This window comes from Homo sapiens, chromosome 3 (genome assembly GCF_000001405.40).
Source record: "Homo sapiens chromosome 3, GRCh38.p14 Primary Assembly".
NCBI classification, from domain to species: Eukaryota; Metazoa; Chordata; class Mammalia; order Primates; family Hominidae; genus Homo; species Homo sapiens.
In genome coordinates this window covers 160,842,994-160,863,855 of record NC_000003.12, presented here as the reverse complement: position 1 = coordinate 160,863,855, position 20,862 = coordinate 160,842,994, and the positions used below count along the sequence as shown (strand labels likewise).

The window sequence follows — 20,862 nt, the reverse complement described above, 5'->3', positions numbered from 1 at the left end:
GGCTTGCAGGGGACTATGTATACCCTATAATTAAGCCCTTGATACCTGGAAGGGTGCTCAAGTAGAACAGTGGGACATGAGGTTTCAGGCAGAAAGAACTGCTTACTTGAAGAACTAGGCTATTTGTGTGACCAAGGAACCCAATATTGATTTTAAATTGTTAAAGATCAAACTGTACAACATACTTGATAGCTGTCCATACTTGATAGACTGCCCCCTCACAGTCCAGTAACTTCGGATCACACTGTACAGGCACTAGACAGTTTCCACAGCAGCACATGACTTACATCAAACCTAAGACCTAGGGTTGGAGCTTTCATGAGAAAGTCAACCTTCTCACCACTGAGTGATGACAACAAAGCTTTCTCCAGACAACAAAAATGATGAAGTTAAATTTCTGTAGGAAACAATAATTTAATAACTAAAGGCATTTAGTGGAAAAAGAGGAATAACAAGTGCTAAGCAGGAAAAAGTGAACTTAGCAGGCTGGCAGACAGCACTGAGTAGTACCCCAGGGGCTGAAAAAGTGACAAAGACGACTAGAAAGCTGAGGTAAGACCAGATAACTGAGGGCCTCTCATTTGCTATGAAGTGTTTTGAATGTGGTCTCCAAGTCTGTATTTTAAAAATTCTATCATCTTCAGTTTAAAATCACTAGTTTAATGTGGTATTTTATTTGAAGTTTAAAAATTCCAATTTATATTTGTCATATATATGACAAAATACATGACACGTTTTGGACAAAAACACCCAAATTGTGAAAATGTGTCAGTGGAAAGTCTGGAAAAATAAAAGCCACACAGGTATTGTGTCGGACAAAGGCTAGTAAATGAATAAGTGGCTGTCAAAATTAGCAAAGGATCCTGCTGTGTAACAATTTGTCTGATTTGTGTTTTCAAAGAAAATGGCAGTTTGATTTTTTATTTTTCTCCTAAGCAAACCTATAATTTATAATAAATTAAAAGGAAAATTAAACTGAGAGGTATTCTTTACACTAGTGCTTTTAAAAAACTGATAATCATTTTATTCTGCTGCCACTTTATTAAAGCTTTTTTCCCCCCTACTCTCCTAAATATGACCATTTTTATCCATAGTTGTCATTGAAAATTGAAACTCACTGGGGATTTGACAGTATTAGGGTTTCAGAATTTTGTGTGTGTGTGTGTGTGTGTGTGTGTGTGTGTGTGTGTGTGCGTGTGCCTAGGATTAGGAATGGAGACTAAAACTTTCTGTACATCTCCTATGTAAGACTGCCCTCTCACCGGGACCTGAGTCAAACAGGTTGCTCAAAATTTCCCATATGAATGTTAACTCTCTGCTATAAGCAATTCCTTTAAGTTACTTTAAATCAAAACCCAGGTGTCCTATTCCACATCCCCGCAGCACCTCCTTGATTTTCCTAATAGTCGCTTGTGCTAGATTGATAGCTGGTTTCCAGAAAACATACCTTCATTTTGCTAGCATTTCAGTGCCTGAATTGAAAGGGACTAATGTGCACAGCCCAGAAGTTTCCAGGAAGCTATCTGAAGGAAACCACTTTCAACTGAAGGGGTGAGGAAGCTTTTATCAAATCAGAAGCTCAATCCCCTGATCAGGCCAGGCTTGCTCTTGTTACATGTTTTGGGATAGAACTTATTTTCTTTGACAAAATACTAAAAGTAATTTTGGGAGTGAGTGAAATACTAACAGCAGCTAATTTTCCTCATCATCTTCATTAGCATCATCATCATCAGTGTGGTAGGCAGAATCATGGCCCCCCCTCAAATATGTCCACGCCCTAGTCCCTAACACCTGTGAATACATTACCTTACATGGCAAACGGGACTCTGCAGATGTGATAAAGGTAAGAGTCTTGAGATGGGAATATTTTCCTGCATTACTTAGGTGGTCCCAATGTATTAGGTGGGCACAGAGGTCTTTATGAGAAAGAAGCAGGAATATCAGCCAGAGGAAATCTAGCAATGGAAGCAAAAGTTGAACTGATGCCATTGCTAGAAGGTGGCTACACCACCAAAGACTGGCCAGTCTCTAGAAGCTGGAAAACACGAGCAAATTCTCCCCTAGAGCCTTCAAAAGGAACACATGTCTGCTGACACCTTGGTTAGTGCCATAACACCCATTTTCAGATATCTGACCTTCAGAGCCATAATAACAAACTTGTGTTGTTTTAAACCACTAGATTTTTTTTTGTAATTTATAGCAGCAGTAGGAAATTAATACCATCATCAATACATACAACAACCCTATTAGGTGGTTGTTATTGTCCCCCGCTATACAGATTAGGAAACTGAATCTCAAAGGCATCTCAGAGAGCAAGTAACAGAGCCAGAAATCGAACACAGTACTGTTTGGCATAAAAATTCATGTTCTAAATAAATAATTACACTATAATGCCTTTAAGAGCAATTGGCATAAGAATTATTTAGTATTTATTTATATCAGCTGCCAAGCACTTGATAATCTAGCTTTTCCCTGTTATCCATCCTGTCTAAATGATCTAACATCTCGGCTTTCTCATGTTAAAGCTATCAGTATCTTCAGAGTTGTATCTAGGCAACAGTAGGACATTACACTATATTCTGCCCAGCACATAGTTGCTTCTCATTATAATCCTTACTCTATACAACTTCCATTGTACTCTTTGGGTTAATGCCACAGAGGTGCTGCACAGTGGCAACGAAAGAATACTGGCCTTGGAGTCAGCAAATAAAGGTTTTATTCCCAGCTGCGCCACTGATGATACACTACGTGACCTTCCACTTTGAACCTTTCAACCTCTTATATGAAAAACCTCTTTCTACTTTGAAGCTCTTATCTGAAAAAGTCAAAGCCAGACAATGTCTTAAGGATCTGTTATGAACTAAATGCTTGTGTTCCCCCAAAATTCATATATTGAAGCCCTAATCCCTAATGTGATGATATTTGGAGGTGGGGCTTTTTAGAGGTATTTAGGTCATGATGATGAAACCCTCATGAATGGGATTAGAGCCCTTATAGGAAGAGACAAGAGATAAATGATCTCTTTCCACCTTGTACAATACCGCAGGAAGGCAGCCACCTGCAAAGTAGGAAGAGGAACCTCATCAGACACCAGATCTGCCAGCACCTTGATCTTGGACTTCCCAGCCTCCAAAACTGTGAGAAATAAATGTCTGTTGTTTAAGCCACTCATCTATGGTCTTTCATTATAGCAGCCCAACCTAAGGCAGGATGCTTTGAGATATAAAGTCCTGGCTTTGTAACTTCCAAATCCATACAGGGATTCCACTGTCTAAGTGCTAATCCTAAATCTGCAATTTCCTGTGCAATGATGCCAGCTGGATGCCTTATTACTTCATCGTGGGTCCCTTACCATCTGCTTCCTTTTGTTAATAATACCACCATTTTCCCAGTCTTTGTGATACATTTTTACACATCCCTATGTTTCATTCTCTAGAGTCTGTCAGGCACCACATTCAGTTGCCTTCTTCATGTAATTAGGGTCTATTATTTTTAGGACAATAAATGTGGCAACAGGACGTTAGCTGAGGAATATATTAGAATCTACAAGGTGAGTCAGGAGTTTGTACTGGTTGTGGGAATGAAAAGAAAAGAACAAAGTTTTAAAAATGATTTGGAGGAAGGCATCTGGACGTGGTGACTAAAACTTGCTTCTTTATTTTTAAACAAGTTTAAACTCCTCAGTCCAGATTTTAAAATCTGAAACTATCCACATGTGTAATCTTATCTCCCAATGTTTCCCAGTCTGTTGCTTCTTCTACAAATCACCAATGACACTCACTAAATTAGTTAGGCTCATTCATTCCTAAATAATTTCAGCCCTTCATCAGGTTTGACATGTAAACTGCCTTCACATTTCATATCACATCACCCTCACAGCAACCCAACCATTGGAAAGACAAGGCAAATTTACAGAACTTGATCGAGGTTACAGCTAAATAAAGGGTGGAGCCAGGACTCACCAGAGGCTTCCGCATCCAAGTTCTTATTTGACATCACCACCTCATAAACCTTCTCACAAATACACTTTTATCAGGCAGCTCCCAGGTATTTTCTTGTTTCAATTTTCATGTAGTGTTCTGAAAAGTTATCCTCACAAAATGCACATATTGACCCAGGGGTGAGGGTGGCTCAGAAAGGGGTCATTTGTGTACACAATTCAGAAGGAAATAAATTTTGCTTATCATTTTAATATCAAGCAATGTTTGCATTTCATTCTTTTCTTTAACTTTATATGCCCTAGTAGGAGTGAATACAGCTAGACCAGGGGTGGGCAAAAGTCAAAGGTGAAGTTATGCCATAAAATAAACACAAGTAAGATCAAAATGTAGAACAATTACTCTTGACAACTCCTATGAGAAATACACTGATATTTCCCAGATAGAGAAGCTATTCCTCTTGAGAATATCCAGTTATTATTTGCCTAACCTCATTCAATCATAGTAATCTAACTTGCATGAAATAAAAGAAGGCAAGGAATCATGCAATGTAGAAACTGGAAAGACCTTAAAGGTTAACTGACCAAACTGAATTAGCCTGGATCCTATCATTTGCATGTGACATAATAAAGGACAACTCAAACTGGCATAAGAAAACAACAACAATCAAAAAAGCCTTTACTGGAGAAACACCTGAAAAGGGAGTGTTAGATTCATGCATAGATAGGGTCTGCTTTCCTCCATATAGGCTCCATCTCTAGTTACCTCCATGTGCAGATTGCCCACAATTCCACCTTTCCATTCTACTTACTTAGGAATATTATAGGGAAAAAAGCATCTTCTTTAATAGTTCCAGACAAATCCCAGAAGTTGACTTCTGATCCATCCATTCTGGGTTGCCTACCCACCCTAACTACCCCAGTGGCCACGGGAAGTATAGATTCATTGACCTAGGCTGGGTCACATGCTCACTCCTGGATAAAAGGGAACAGACTGGGTTGGACCCAGTACTTGAAAGTAGGAACTTTTTCAAGTACAGGGAGAAATGGAAGCTGAGCAGAAAAAACAAGTGTCTACCATAATAACATCTTATTATAGATGAGGAAACTGAAGTCAGAGAGTTAGGACTATATCTCAAGCTTTTAGTAATTCATTCAGAATTTAAACAGGTAAATTAATACCACCCATGTAGATACTCTTGAATTTTATTTACCTGTGCTTCATTGTTTTAGTAAACACTCTATAAACACTCTTGTATTTTTTACTCAAAATATAACTAATAAGTAAAGGGTGAAACTGTCCACCTTTTATTGAGGGTAATGTAGTCCCATTCATTATAAAAACAAATATAAAAATAAGGAAATAAGATTTATTGTGATTCACTGCACTTGAAGTGAATAACTTTTGCTTTGGGAGGCCAAGGCGGGTGGATCACCTGAGGTCAGGAGTTCAGGACCAGCCTGACCAACACAGTGAAACCCTGTGTCTACTAAAAATACAAAAATTAGCTGGGCGTGGTGGCAGGCTCCTGCAATCCTAGCTACTCAGGAGGCTGAGGCAGGAGAATCAATTGAATCTGGGAGGCGGTTCTTGCAGTGAGCCAAGACCATGCTATTGCACTCCAGCCTGGATGACAGAGCGAGAAGAAAGAAAAAAGAAAAAAAAGAAAAGAAAAGAGAAATTTTAAATAACTTTGCTTTGAAAGTTATTTGTGCTAAAATGGAAGCACTGCTTTACTTTCATAAATACATAAAAAGATATGCCTGATTCCATATTCTATCAATAGTCCACATTACACAGTATGGATAATTTTCCTTTTAGAACAATAGACTCTGCCATTTCAAATGTCAACTAAACAGCCTAAATGTTTCACCAAGAATGAGATACATTATTTTTCTCTCCGTTAAAATTTAAAGGCAAAGCTGGAATACTGGAGAGGGCTACCAAAAGAGTCATGACAGGACACAGTCACTGCAAAAGGCTTCCACACCCAAAATGGGAACCTGGAAGCAGAAAAGATTAAGTAAGCAATATGGATATGCATATATCTGAAAAAGAGATTGAGAGACAAGGATGAAAATCCACAGAAGAAAATAATTAGCTGGGGAATGTGGGCTAGAGAGTTTAAGCCACAAGAAGGACTTTGTCTTACCGCTACAATAGCATTTATTATTTTAGGCTGTAATTATTTGTTTATATGCCTGCCTCTCCCATAAGCCTTTAACCTCTTTAAGAGCAGGCACCATGCCTTGCATTTCTATATTCACAAGACTAATATAGAATAGATACTCAAAATGAAAGAATGAATAAACAATAAACAGTAGAATATAAATGAATGGAGCCCACACAAAAAAGGACTATTATACATATGAACTTCAGAAAACCATATGGTCCCAGCCACAAGACAAAAAGACTAAAAAGGACTGTTTTTGCATTACATTTTAAGGCAGCCACCTTACTTACAGCTCCTAGTCACAAAGTCTGATCTGGATTATCCAACCAGAAACACAACCAAAAAACAACTGTAGTTGTATATTAAAGCAGGAATTTTGTTTACTTGATTCTAAACCTGTAGTTTGTATGAATAATGGTATAAGTCATAAGGACTTCGGAGGCTAAAGATAAAATGTGTTGAATTTTATGAAAAGCACATTCAAGAGTTATGATGGTATAATTTGCAAAGCCCACACTGTCAGAATTTTAAAGAATGTAATTAGAAGGAAGAAACCATGACCTTTTGGAAGCAAAAAAAATTTCCGTATTTTTCCTGGAAACAAAAGGCATTTTTTTAAAAAGAAGTGTAACATCAAGAATATTAACTTCTTTCTTTTAAAGTGGTAGAAACTTACAATTTAAAATCTGGGTTTTTTGTTTGTTGCTTTTGGCAAGTAAAGGATAGGAAAGTTAGAATCAAACATCAAAATATACTTCTGGAAAGAAGTTTCAGAAATTTGGTTAAAACTATAGAGACTAAAATACTATTAAACAATCAACTACAAAAACTGAATAAATCCACTGCCATCTAAGGTGAAATAAATAGGGAGAAGAATTAAATGAGAGGGACAGAATCAAAGAAAGAAGAAAATCTGAATTTCTTTTTTTTTTTTAGCTTTTATTGTAGTTCAGGGTACACATGCAGGTTTGTTATACAGGTAAATTACATGTCACGAAGGTTTGATGTACAGATTATTTCATCACCAGGTAATAAGCATGGTATCTGATAGGCAGTTTTTCAATCCTCACCCTCCTCCCACTCTCCACCCCCAAGTATGCCCCAGTGTCTGCTCCTTTCTCAGTGTTCATGTGTACTCAGTGTTTAGCTCCCACTTATAAGTGAGAACATGTGGTATTTGGTTTTCTGTTTCTGCATTAGTTTGCTTAGGATAATGGCCTCCAGCACCATCCATGCTGCTACAAAGGACATGATCTCATTCTTTTTTTATGCCTGTGTCGTGTTCTATGCTGTATATATACCACAATTTTTTTATCCAGTCCATGGTTGATGGGCATCTAAGTTGATTCCACATCCTTGCTATTGTGAATAGTGCTGTGATTAACATATGAATGCATGTATCTTCGAACGGTTTATATTCCTTTGGGTTTACCAATGTGATGGTTAATATTAAGAGTCAACTTGATTGGACTGAAGGATATAAAGTATTGTTCCTGGGTGTGCCTGTGAGGGTGTTGCCAAAGGAGATCAACATTTGTGTAAGTGGACTGGGAAAAGCAGACCCACTCTCAATCTCGGTGGGCACAATCTAATCAGCTGCCAGTACAGCCAGAATAAAAGCCGGCAGAGGAACATGGAAAGACTAAGCTGGTTTAGTCTTCTGGCCTACATCTTTCTCTCATGCTGGATGCTTCCTGCCCTCACACATCAGACTCCAGGTTCTTCAGCTTTGGGACTCAGACTAGCTTCCTTACTCCTCAGCTTGCAGACAGCCTATTGTGGGACCTCACTTTGTGATCGTGTGAGCCAATACTCCTTAATAAACTCCCCTTTATATATACATCTATCCTGTTAGTTCTGTCCCTCTAGAGAACCCTAATACAACCTAATAATGGAATTGCTGGGTCGAATGGGAGTTCTGTTTTAAATTCTTTGAGAAATCACCAAATTGTTTTCCACAGTAGCTGAAACACTTACGTTCCCTCCAGCAGTGTATAAGTGTTCCTTTTTCTCCACAACCTCGCCAGCATCTGTTGTTTTTTGACTTTTCAATAATCACCATTCTGACTTGTGTGAAATGGTATCGCACTGTGGTTTTGATTTGTATCTGATTAGTGATGTTGAGCATTTTTTATGTGCTTGTTGGCCGTGCATTGGTGTCTTTTGAAACGTGTCTATTCATGCTCTTTGTCCACTTTTTAATGGGGTTGTTTGCTTTTTGCTTGTTAATTTAAGTTCCTTACAGATTACGGATATTAGCCTTTGCTAGATGCATAGTTTGCAAATATTTTCTCCCATTCTGTGGGCTGTTGGTTTACTCTATGGATAGTTTCTTTCACTGTGCAGAGTTCTTTAATTTAATTAGGTCCCATTTGTCAATCTTTCTTTTTGTTGCAATTACTTTTGGTGTCTTCATTAAGAAATCTTTGCCAGAGCCTATGTCCAGAATAGTATTTCCTAGGTTTTCTTCAAGGGTTTTTATAGCTTTAGGTTTTATATTTAAGTCTTTAATTGATATTGAGTTGATTTCTATCTATAGTGAAAGGAAGGGGTCCAGTTTCAGTCTTCTGCATAGGGCTAGCCAGTTATCCCAGCATCATTTATTGAATAGGAAGTCCTTTCTCCATTGCTTGTTTTTGTTGACTTTGTCGAAGATCATATGGTTGTAGGTATGCAGCTTTTTTTTCTGGGTTCTCTATTCTGTTTCATTAGTCTATGTGTCTGTTTTTAAACCAGCACCATGCTGTTTTTGCTACTATAGCCTTGTAGTATAGTTTGAAATTGAGTAATGTGATGCCTGTGACTTTGTTTTTTTTTTGCTTAGGATTGTTTTGGCTATTCGGACTCTTTTTTTTTTTTTTTTTTGGTTCCACATGAATTTTAGAATAGTTTTTTTCTAATTCTTTGAACAATGTCATTGGTAGTTTGATAGAAATAGCATTGAATCTGTAAATTGCTTTGGGCAATATGGCCATTTTAACAATACTGGTACTTCCTATCCATGAGCATGGAATGTTTTTTTCATTTGTTTGTTATCTCTGATTTCTTTCAACAGTGTTTTGTAATTCTCATTGAAATCTTTTACCTCCCTGATCTGCCGTATTCCTAGGGGTGTATGTGTGTGTATGTGTGTGTGTGTGTATGTGTCTCTACTGTGAATTGAATTGTGTTCTTGATTTGGCACTCAGCTTGGATATTGTTGGTATATAGAAATGCTACCGATTTTTGCACATTGAGAAAATCCAAACTTCTAAGCCTGGTATTCAAGGCTTTCCATGATTAGGATCAATGAATGGTTTCACCCTTATCCTTCACTGTTCCCTACTCATGCCCTTTGTGGCACCCAGATACGTATATCCTAAAAACACTTTACCTTATACATTCCACCATCTTTATCCTTTTACACAAGGACTAGGAAAACACCACCCAGCTAAGAGTCTAAGGACAGTTCTCAGAGATATACCAACTGGCTCTGGCTCCTTCAAGATAAGTTTTCTGAATTTCAGGTAAGCATGGGCAACAAAAACCACCCTTCCCCAAGCTCTAGTCTTCATTGTAAAACAAACTGAACCACATGATGCGGTCAAAGTACCTAAGTAATTTATATGTAAAAGACATGTCTAAGGTCTGAAAGAAAGATCTCTCTAAATAACTGGGTACCACCTGCCTGGCATGCCAAGAACACCTGAAAGTCCAGTAAACTTTAGTAGCTGGGTATGCACTAACTTGACATTGCTATCTACAACCGACGTGTGGGGACTTGTGATCAGAATATAAGTACCTACTTGTGTAGGGAAAGTCCAGTATAGGCAAAGAAAAGTTAATTAAAGTTTGACCTTACATGCTCTCTTCTTCCTAAATACTATAAAAAGGTGAAAGATTTTGTTGACATCTGCAAAAATGAATTAAATTGAAAACAAACTCAGTGTGAACTATCTTTTCTTTTACCAATACTTTGTATCAAGACACTCTTGCTAACTTGCTCATAATGTATACACCTTATAGATTATTTATTTGATAAAATTTCAACCCCAAATAAATTATTTTCATGATTTTCAATCATTTTCAACACTCATTCAGTATAACCCAAATGTACCCCTTATTATTCAATACTCTTCAGGTGAACAAATGATCATAAATATGACATTTAATAATTTTAGTATTTTTATACTTTTATAGTTGACCATGGTCAACTACAAATAACAATGAGATCATTATCTTCCCTTTCAGATTTTCTATTTTTTCTTTAATTTATGCAGTCCATCATAGCATGAATAATTAAATGTAGGTTGATTACTGGGAAAGGGAAAAGTTTGTATTTTCTGCTCTATCTAGATCTACATGGGATTTTAGAAAGATTATGATGATATATTCTTAATACAGGTAGGATAGGTAGAGTGAACATTCTAAATCTATGGAGCAATAAAAAAGAATAAAGTATTTGTAGTAGGCTGAATGGTGGCCCCCAAAACAATTACGTATATGTCCTAATCTCCAGAACCTGTGATTATTACTTTATATGCTCCCTCCCACTGCCAAAAAGAAAAAGTGATTAAATTAAGGGCCTTGAGAAGTTTGGCCCTAAATGCAATCAGAGGGTGTTTTCAGACAAAAGAGGAGGAAGCAATGTGACCACAGAGGCAGAGACTGGCATCATGCAACCACAAGCCAAGGAATGCCAGAAGCTACCTCCAGCTGGAGAGGCAGGAAATGGATGCTTCCTTAGAGCTTTCATATGGAGTGGGACCCTGTCGACACCTTGATTTTTGAAATTTGGCCTCCAGAGCTGTGAGAAAACAAATTTCCACTGTTTTAAGCCACCAAGTTTACGATAATTTATATCAGCAACCACAGGAAACTAACATCTTAAAGAATATCTGTTTTCAGTTAAAAGATGAAATGACACTGCTTTTGGTGAACTCTAGAAGAAATAAAATACAGTGTTATAAACATAAATTCTACAGTAAATGACCTGAAGTACCTTTAGAGATGACCAACCATCCACAGAATACAATTGGAAAAGTACGATATTAAAAGCATAGTTGCTGATTGTACAGTCATTGAAAAGTTGACCCTTCCAGCCAGTTTGTTTAAAGAGAATGAGTTAAATTAACTTCATTTACTTAAATAGCATTGGTTTTTGAAGCATAAGAGTCTGACTTTTTGTATTTGGGTTATATGGTTCTTTGGATGAATGAGGTCAAGATAAAATTACCAACCCACTCTGTCCTGAATCAATAAATTATTCAAATGTAAGGATTTTATTTGAGGGGAAAAACAATAAAAAGGGGGAAAGCTCTCTCACTGCTATCCCTTTTTAATAAACTATCTCTGTCAAACATTAACATGCTTCATTAAAATACAGCATTGCTTTTAATGAATAAATATTTTCCTTAATTGCTTTTGGAGTGAGGCTATATAAAAATTTATTTTTTTTTGTTTTTGTAACACAAAAGACAGCACAAGAAAAACTGAATTGTCCTAGTTGTCCTGATCGTCCTGGGTGCTCAGCTGCCCCAGCTTCTCTAGCCTCTGATGTTGCCATAAATCTTACTTCTCAGAATGGTTTCTTATCAACAATTTCCTTCTGAGGAGAGATAATAGCCAGCATCTTCCTTTATGAAACACTTGTCATGAACATTAAATTCACACAGTTTAATACATCCTAAGTAATCTTCATTCGCCCTGAAGATTGAAGCTGAATTACACTTGATGGTTCAGAAAATGATTATGTATAAAACAGAACATAGGACCTTTTCTTCATCAAAGTTCTAATTATCTACTCTTTGAGGGGAAAAAATCGACAGGACGTCAAAAACAATGAACTCATTTCCTATGAAGAGCAAAACCAGGCCTGATATTTGAAAGACAATGGAAGGTCTTGGCTCAGGAAATACAGGCTTCGGAAAGGGTCACTACGGAGTAACAGCAGAATGTGTCTTGGGTACCTTTCCACCTTCCTCCTTCCTTCCCATTTCCTGGCTTGCCTCTCTCTTCATTCCCCAAGTATCGGATCTTTCCCTCTAGATAACTAATGCCCCTACTAAGTGCTTTACTCAAGGCATACTCTCGGTAAAAAGTCTTGTTCTCTAAAATGTATCTCTTTTCTTCCCGTCAAAGCTTCATGTTAGATGTTCAATAAATGTTTTCAATATTTTAACAAGCTATTCTTCCTTCTCAAAGATGAAATGTTTACTTTCTCTACGAAGATTTAACTTTCTAAAAGGAATAATTTACCTCAACTAGAAAACACTGCAATGAAGCAAATTACCCCTGCCAAGCAGCCACGGAATCCACTGGCAGCGGTAATTTACTCCTAACAAACCAGGCATTTAAATTACCTATTTTCAACATAGTTTGGCCTCAAGTTTGGACATAGCCCTCAACTTTTCAAAGAAAATAATAGAATCACTGATTTGGTGCCCTTTTTTCAGCCCTAGGTGATAGACAATCAAAAACACATCTGCTTAAGTAAATACAGATAAATCAGAAGCAGACACTACCTTTAATTTTTAATCATCGCTGACAACAGGAGCTACCCCTCTGGTTTTCTAAACAATGAGATCCTATCACCCCACAATCCTGTTTAAAAAAGAAACTCTTGCCTATAAGGTAAGTGAAATTTAACATCTATCTGGTCGTACAGTGGTATAATATTTCAAATCTTTTGTGACAGAGGGAAGAAAATTAAAAAGGTATAAAAATGACCGTATTTACAAGCATGTCTTTTAGAGAGTGCTGGGACTGACAGGAGAGAGAAAACAGGGAGGTGGGGTGGGGGGATTACTCTCTGACAAGTATGGGAAAACAGTAATGACCAAAAAACTGTAAGAGAGAAAAACAATAATGACCCCCCCCCCACCAAAAAAAAAGAGTAAGAAGCAATATCCTTAAAGTGAAATAAGATTCTCCCTCTATGGAATCAATGGTAGAGTCATGACATGGAGCTGCAGATTGAGAGCTGGCTAAGCAGACCTATTCCCTGCCAGCCCAGGAGAAAATGGTAATTGCCCATGACATAATAAGAAATATATATTTGGTCTCTGCCCAGTATCCATGTGCACAGCTTCTAAAACCCTTGGAAATCTCCAAAATGATGTTTCTTTTTGTATACTTATTGGATGGCTGGTGGCTGGAGGCTCCTGGATAGCCTCAGGATGGGGGCTGGTTGCCAGAGGGACCAGCCATGTGATTAGAGGGTTGGGATTTCAGCCTCAACCCCCAAAGTCCAGGGAGAGGGGCAGGACTGGAGGTTGACTAAATCACTAATGGCCAATGATTTAATCAACAATGACTATTTAATGAAACCTCTATAAAAACCCAAAAAGACAGGGTTTGGAGAGCTTCCCTAACACATGGAGGTGCTAGGAATGCTACCTTCTTAGTGCATCCCAGTAAGACTTTTAGCACCCATCAGTGTACTGAAACTGCTCTTGCTGGGTCAACAACAACCCACTGTCCAAATCTAGTGCTTCCCCTGGACCTTGCTCTATGAATCTCTTTCATCTGGCTGTTCTTGGGTTGTATCCTTTGTATTAAACAGGTAAACATAAGTAAAGTGTTTCCCTGTGTTCTGTGCACCATTCTAGCAAATGATCAAACCTAAGGACACACTCATGGGAACCTCTGATTGATAGCCGTAGGTGAGGAGTGTAAGTGACAATCTGGACTTGTGATCAGTGTCTGAAATAAGGGCAGTCTTGTGGGACTGAGCCCTTAACCTGTGGGTAGATAGTGTCAGAACTGCGTTGAATTGTAAGACACTCAGCTGGTGTCAGAGAATTGGCTGTGTAGGAAAAACCTCCACATATTTTAGTGGCCAGAAGCGAAGTATCAGTGTTGGGTGTGAGTGTATGGAAGACAAGGCATGGCTTGTTTTTCCTAATCATCCCCGGATTCCAGCCCAAGTTCCCAGCACTTTGGGAGGCTGAGGCAGGCGGATCACGAGGTCAGGAGATCGAGACCATCCTGGCTCACACAGTGAAATTCCATCTCTACTAAAAATACAAAAACAAAAAATTAGCCGGGCGTGGTGGCGGGCGCCTGTAGTCCCAGATACTCGGGAGGCTGAGGCGGGCGGATCACAAGGTCAGGAGATCGAGACCATCCTGGCTCACACAGTGAAACTGCGTCTCTACTAAAAATACAAAAAAAAAATTAGCCGGGCGTGGTGGTGGGCACCTGTAGTCCCAGCTACTCGGGAGGCTGAGGCAGGAGAATGGCATGAACCCGGGAGGTGGAGCTTGCAGTGAGCCATGAGCCAAGATTGTGTCACTGCACTCCAGCCTGGGCGACAGAGCGAGACTCCATCTTAAAAAAAAAAAAGAAAGAAAGAAAGAAAGAAAGAAAGAGAATGCAGGTCTCCTGGCCATGCCAGAGTCCTCTGACTGCTACTTGGATGCAGGGAATGCTGAATGTGAAAGAAGTTCTGGAGAACATTCCCTAATGTGGCTCTGGAAAAGACCCAAGTCATTCTAGGTCTAGGGTAATCCAAAGAATCCTAGGGCAGGACAGGCCAGCAGGGGAACTATGAGGCACGAACCAAGAAATAGTGCATGTGTAGCTGTGAAAAAAAGACAGAGTGCTTCTGGAAATGCCAGGACCAGAAAACACCAATTATTTAATGTTTAATATATGCCCATATAACTGACAAGTCCTGGATTACTAGGTTCAAAATGAGGTCACTGGGCTAGATAGTGTCAGTTTCTCCACTCCCCATATGCACTCTCCACCCTGCGGTAGTACTGGAGAGAGAAGGCCATCGCTTTGGATAATAAAATTAATTTGTGAAATACACAGGGGAAAAAAATGAGAGGTTTTCATGGTTAATTTGAAGGGGAAAGTAAAGAAGAAGGATCCTAGAGGACTGCCAGATTTCCAGCTTCAGTAATTGAGTAGATGGTATACTTTCATAAAATGAGAGAAAGAATATGTTAATAGAAGAACTAGTTTAGCAGGAAAGAAGGGGAATTTCATTTTAGACATAAAACATTTGTGAAGCTTTGGACTATTCTGGTGGCAATGCCAAGGAGGCAGCTGCAGAGATGAGAAGAATATTCACACAAGAACTGAACTAAGGACCCCAATCTAAGGATTATGGTCACAGAACAGACACAGGGAGACTACAGAGGGAGATGCCCCAGTGCAAGGTAGAGAAGGACAAGAGTGGAAGATAGAACCTGCGGACACTAACAAACACTTAAGAAGCAGCCAGAAGAATAGCCTGTTGACATGTAATAGTTGATATAAGAAGATGTGGGAGAGGGCACTGTTTCAGAAGTAGGAGAGTAAGGAGCTTCAAAAATGAAGAAGTTACAATAGTGTCAAATGCAATGGAAAGCTCCATTAAGAAAGCAACGGGAAAAAAAAGTCCACTAGATTTGGACCCTGGGTTGTTGTTGACCCAGCAAGAGCAGTTTCAGTACACTGATGGGTGCTAGAAGTCTTACTGGGATGTACTAAGAAGGGAATAAGATATATGAGAAAACCATTTATTCTAAAATACAAAACAACAACAAACTACTAAGCCCAAATAAAATTATCTGCATTACTATACTCCACAAATTATTATCATTCAGAATTTATTCATTAATTCCAGAATACATTTATTAAATATGTACTATGTGTCGGGAGCAATAGGAAGCACCAAGAATATAAAGATGAGTAAAAGATGAACCCTGCTTTTGAGGAGTCTGCAGTTAAGAAGGAATATACATCCATTACCATCGTACTCTATGCCTAATCAGACTGCCCTCCATTCCATAATAATTCACTGTGGTAATTCCAGCAACAGAGGACAGAGTCAGAAACACAATGCCTAGGGAACATAGCAACTTGTACAGAAATTTCACAGCTGAGACCCGAGGAAGGAGTGGTGATCTGATAGTCTGGGCAGGAAGCATGGTGGTGTTCCAGGCAAGAAGAATCTGGAAAAGGCCCAATATTGGTCCCAATCTGAGAGAAGTTTAGCATATTGTGAGTGGTTTTATACCAATCTTAGGATTTGGAAATAAGGCTTGGGCATTTGTTGGGTTGTTTTGTTTCTGAGGTTTTTGCTTTGTTTTGTTTTGTTTTGTTTTTGGTATGTCCCTGGGTGTGTGTGTTTGGTTTGGTAAGCCAGAACTTTGCAGTTTTTGCAGGTATTTCCAAGGCAGCATCACTACTGGCAAAGAGAAAATATGTACTAGGAAGGGCAGAAGGGTTCCTGAGATCACACTTACCAGTTGAGATCACAATTGAGCACAACATTTATTTGAAGTCTTGCATTCCTTTCAGGCAAATTCGTTATTCTACTCTATTTTCACTTCATTTTTTCTCAGCTGAGATCACAATTGAGCATATCTATTTGAAATCTTGCATTGATTTCAGGCAAATTCTTCATTCCACTCTATATCTATTTTTTACATTAAGCAATGTTTTAAAATTAATATAAAATATTGGTTCTTCTCTAAATTTTTTAGGAAAAATTGATACTACAAGAAGATATGCCATGTTTGCCCCCCAAATATATGTGACCTTGAATAAGTCTCAAACATTAATATGAAACATGACTTTTGGCTGTGAGAATCAAGAGGGAACTTTAAAGAGGGAAGAAACAGTGTGATTTGACTTGTTTAAGAAAAGCAAGTTCTTAGGAGAAATAAATTTTGCACCATGATAGAAGAAAAAAATGCTACCAGATTCAGAGTTCTGGATTTATATGCTTTGCCTAATAGCAATACTACATTAATTTCAGTTTGAGTTTTTGGTATTCTTTCCTTTCTACTACTGTTTTTGACCTCTTATATCATAGTGGCCCTGTTATAATGAGTCTCTTACTGTAAATTACCTCAAATATATTTTGAAGTAAGCTACACATAAAAAACTAGTAAAAAATAAATAAATAATAAGCAATTAACAAATAACAATGTAGAATTAGATAGGGGTAACAGTTGCACAACTTTGTGAACATATTAAAAAGAAGCACTAACTTGTACACTTTAAAAGGTGAAGTTTATGGTATGCTAATTATAAAATTATATGTCAATTAAAATTTTTTTCAAGAGTATCACAAAGCACTATGCACACTGTCAACATATACTTTATAACTAACCAACCAATTTAACTGGTGACTGATCTTCCATACATATTCTAATCCTCAGTTATCCATCTAATCTAGATAACAGGACACTGTTGTACTTTAAAAGACTTATTTCAATGTAATAACAATTTTTTGAAACAATCTTTCAAGGTGAGGATCCTAATAATACAACATTTTTAAGGCACACAATGAAGTATAAAGCATGACTGGAAAACTTAAGAGACGATGTGTAATTTAAAACAAATATGAAGTATCTGCAGAGATTTCCCAAGACAGAAAGGCCCAACTTTTATGAAACAGAAGTTTGTCTTAGAGCAAAATAACTGCAAAGAGGCAACAAAACCACATGGAAAATTTATATTCTGTTAATGAGGTGTGACTTCACCACATGTCCACCAACTGTTTGCAAACCTAATAAAAGCCATGAATGAACAAAGATCCAGACAAAAAGACTTGAAATATGAAAAACCAAGTTTTTTTGTTATAGTACATTATTTTAGTTTGAAGACTTCAGAACTTTTAAAATAATATATGTGTTTTCACCTTCAGTGAGAAACCTTTCCATTTTCTTTATTGGAAGATAATCTCATTAAATACTATTCTATTTGCAAATCTTTTAAGTGGTATTATGAAGCACCTTTATAAAAACTATCTTCTTTTTGCAATTGGAAAAATGGAGGTGGTACACCTACTTCGTAGTTTCTTAATATTTCTACTTTCTATTTATTTTTCTTCTTTAAAGTCTAAATAAAGTGGAAGATCCCTTCTCAAATGTATTTCCTTCTCTGAAGAAAAACCAGCTTGAAGTCTGACTGTATATAGGGCACTTAAATTTTTACCTAAAAATTTAGCTTACATTCAACAAATGATACTGGCATAATTGACATACATTATACAAAAATTAACTTAAATGGATCGCAGATTTAAATGTAAAACACAAAAACACAAACCTATATAATTTTTAGAAGGAAGCATAAGAAATTTTTACATCATACACAAAAGTCAAAATGTATAATAGGGCTTAAATGTATCAGCAAAAACTATACAACTTTTAAAAGAAAACATTGGAGTAAATTTGTGACCTTGGCTTAGGCAATGGATTCTTAGATACAACAGCACACAAGAGACCAAAAATAATAATAATAAATAAATAGAGAAATTGAGCTTCAATGGAATCTAAAACTTTGTGCTACAAATGATATCATCAAGAAGATGAAAACACAACCCAAAGAATGGAAAAAACATTTGCAAATCATATATCTAATAAACGACTTATATCCAGAATATCTTTTAAAACTCTTACAATTCAATGATAAAAAGATTAAAACAAAAAATGGACAAAGACTCTGAATAGGCATTTCTACCAACCATACACCAATATATGTACCATATTCTTTTTATGTACATATTGGATATATAAGAAACATATGTCCATACACATATTGTACACAAATGTTCATAGCAGCATTATTCATAGTAGCCAAAAAGTGGGAACAATCAAATGTCCATAAACTAATGAATAGATAAACAAAATCTTATATATTCATATTAATACAATGGAATATTATTCTGCAATGAAAAGGAATGAAATACTGATACATGCTACAACATGGATGAACTTTGAAAACACTGTTCAAGTGAAAGAAGCCAGTGACAAAAGACCACAGATTCTATTTATATAAAATGTCCAGAATAGGCAAATCTACAGAGACAGAAAGTAGATTAGTGTTTGCCTAGGTTGGGGGGACAAGGAAGATGGGGAGAAATAGAGCATAATTGCTAATGGGTACAAAGCTTCTGCTTGGGGTGATGAAAATGTTCTAAAACTTATCAGAATGACAGTTGCACAACTCTGTGAACCTAACTAAAAACTATTGAATTGTACACTTTATATGGGTGAATTGTACAGTATGTTAATTATATTTCAATAAGGCTCTTTAAAAAACATAGAAAAAATTTTCATAACCTAGGGCTAGACAAACAGTTCTCAGACATGACATTGAAAGCATAATCCAGGAAAAGGAAAAACTAACAAGTTGTAAATCATTAAGATTAAAAACTTTTCCTCTGCAGAAGACATGTGAAGAGGATGGAAACATAATCCATAGATGGCAAGAAAAGATTTGCAAACCGGTATCTGGCAAAAGACAAGTATTTAAAACATATATATATAGCATTGTGCTAAATTATCTATTTTTACCTTCATAATATCTCTACAAGTTAAATATTCTCCATTTTAGAGATGAAGAAGCCGAGGCTCAGTGAGAATAAGAACCTAGATCTTGAGGAGCCATAACTCTCAAGTCCCTTTTTGCCCATGGAATCTCTCCACTTCTTCTCTTCTGTATCTCAGCGGGTCTCAGAAAGTCTGAAGGCTAAAGGATACCCTTAAAAGTCTATTTGTGTATTTACCCATACTCTATCACTGTAAGTATTAGACCAGAGTCCACTTATGTAAAGAGAAAAGAACTTGCTTTAAGTTCTACCCATGGAATTCCAAATAAGGATGTGTAGTCACAGTAATACATTCAGATCACCTAAGTGGTGAGTGGCAGAGGGAGAATTTTAAAACAGGTTTTTCTGGCTCAAAAGCAGGGGTATCCAGTCTTTTGGCTTCTCTGGGCCACATGGAAGAATAATTGGCTTGAGTTACACATAAACTACATTAACAATAGCTGATGAGCTTTTCTTAAGAATTGCCAAATACTTTTTATGGCTGCATAGTATTCCATGGTGTATATGTACCACATTTTCTTAATCCAGTCTATCATTGTTGGACATTTGGGTTAGTTCCAAGTCTTTGCTATTGTGAATAGTGCCGCAATAAACATACGTGTGCATGTGTCTTTATAGCAGCATGATTTATAATCCTTTGGGTATATACCCAGTAATGGGATGACTGGGTCAAATGGTATTTCTAGTTCTAGATCCCTGAGGAATCGCCACACTGTCTTCCACAATGGTTGAACTAGGGGAACTGAACAATGAGAACACTTGGACACAGGAAGGGGAACATCACACACCGGGGCCTGTTGTGGTGTGGGGGGAGAGGGGAGGCATAGCATTAGGAGATATACCTAATGTAAATGACGAGTTAATGGGTGCAGCACACCAACATGGCACATGTATACATATGTAACAAACCTGCACGTTGTGCACATGTACCCTAGAACTTAAAGTACAATTAAAAAAAACATATATATATATATATATATATATATATATATATATATATATAAAAGAATTGCCATACACACACAAAAAAAAAATCATAATGTTTTAAGAAAGTTTACGAATTTTTGTTGGGCCTCATTCAAAGCCGTCCTGGGCTGCATATGGCACATGGACCGCGGGTTGGACAGGCGTGCTCTAAAGCTTACACTATACTATGTTTCTCTATAACCACAATTTCTATTGCTAATAGGAACACTATTGTTTAGAACTTAATTTTAGATATTTAAAAGTCTAAATCCTATCAGTAGCTTCTCCTTCAAGAAATAAATTCAATTCCATTTTAATAATTTGTGAGATACAGGATAGGAGGAGGGCCAGGAATTTAAAACAATTTTTTTTAAAAAAAAGAATTAGATTTGGAGACATTCCTTTATAAGTGTAACTTATTAAGAATAGTAAAAGCCAAAAACTATTGGAAAAAGTGAAAGAGTGAAAGG

General features: G+C 37.2%; 1 protein-coding gene across 4 annotated transcripts in view; it reads right to left on the bottom strand.

Annotated features, from left to right (window-relative positions):
• The window catches only part of PPM1L (protein phosphatase, Mg2+/Mn2+ dependent 1L), a 322,672-nt gene that overhangs the window by 215,047 nt on the left and 86,763 nt on the right, over positions 1-20,862 (bottom strand). The window lies entirely within an intron of this gene.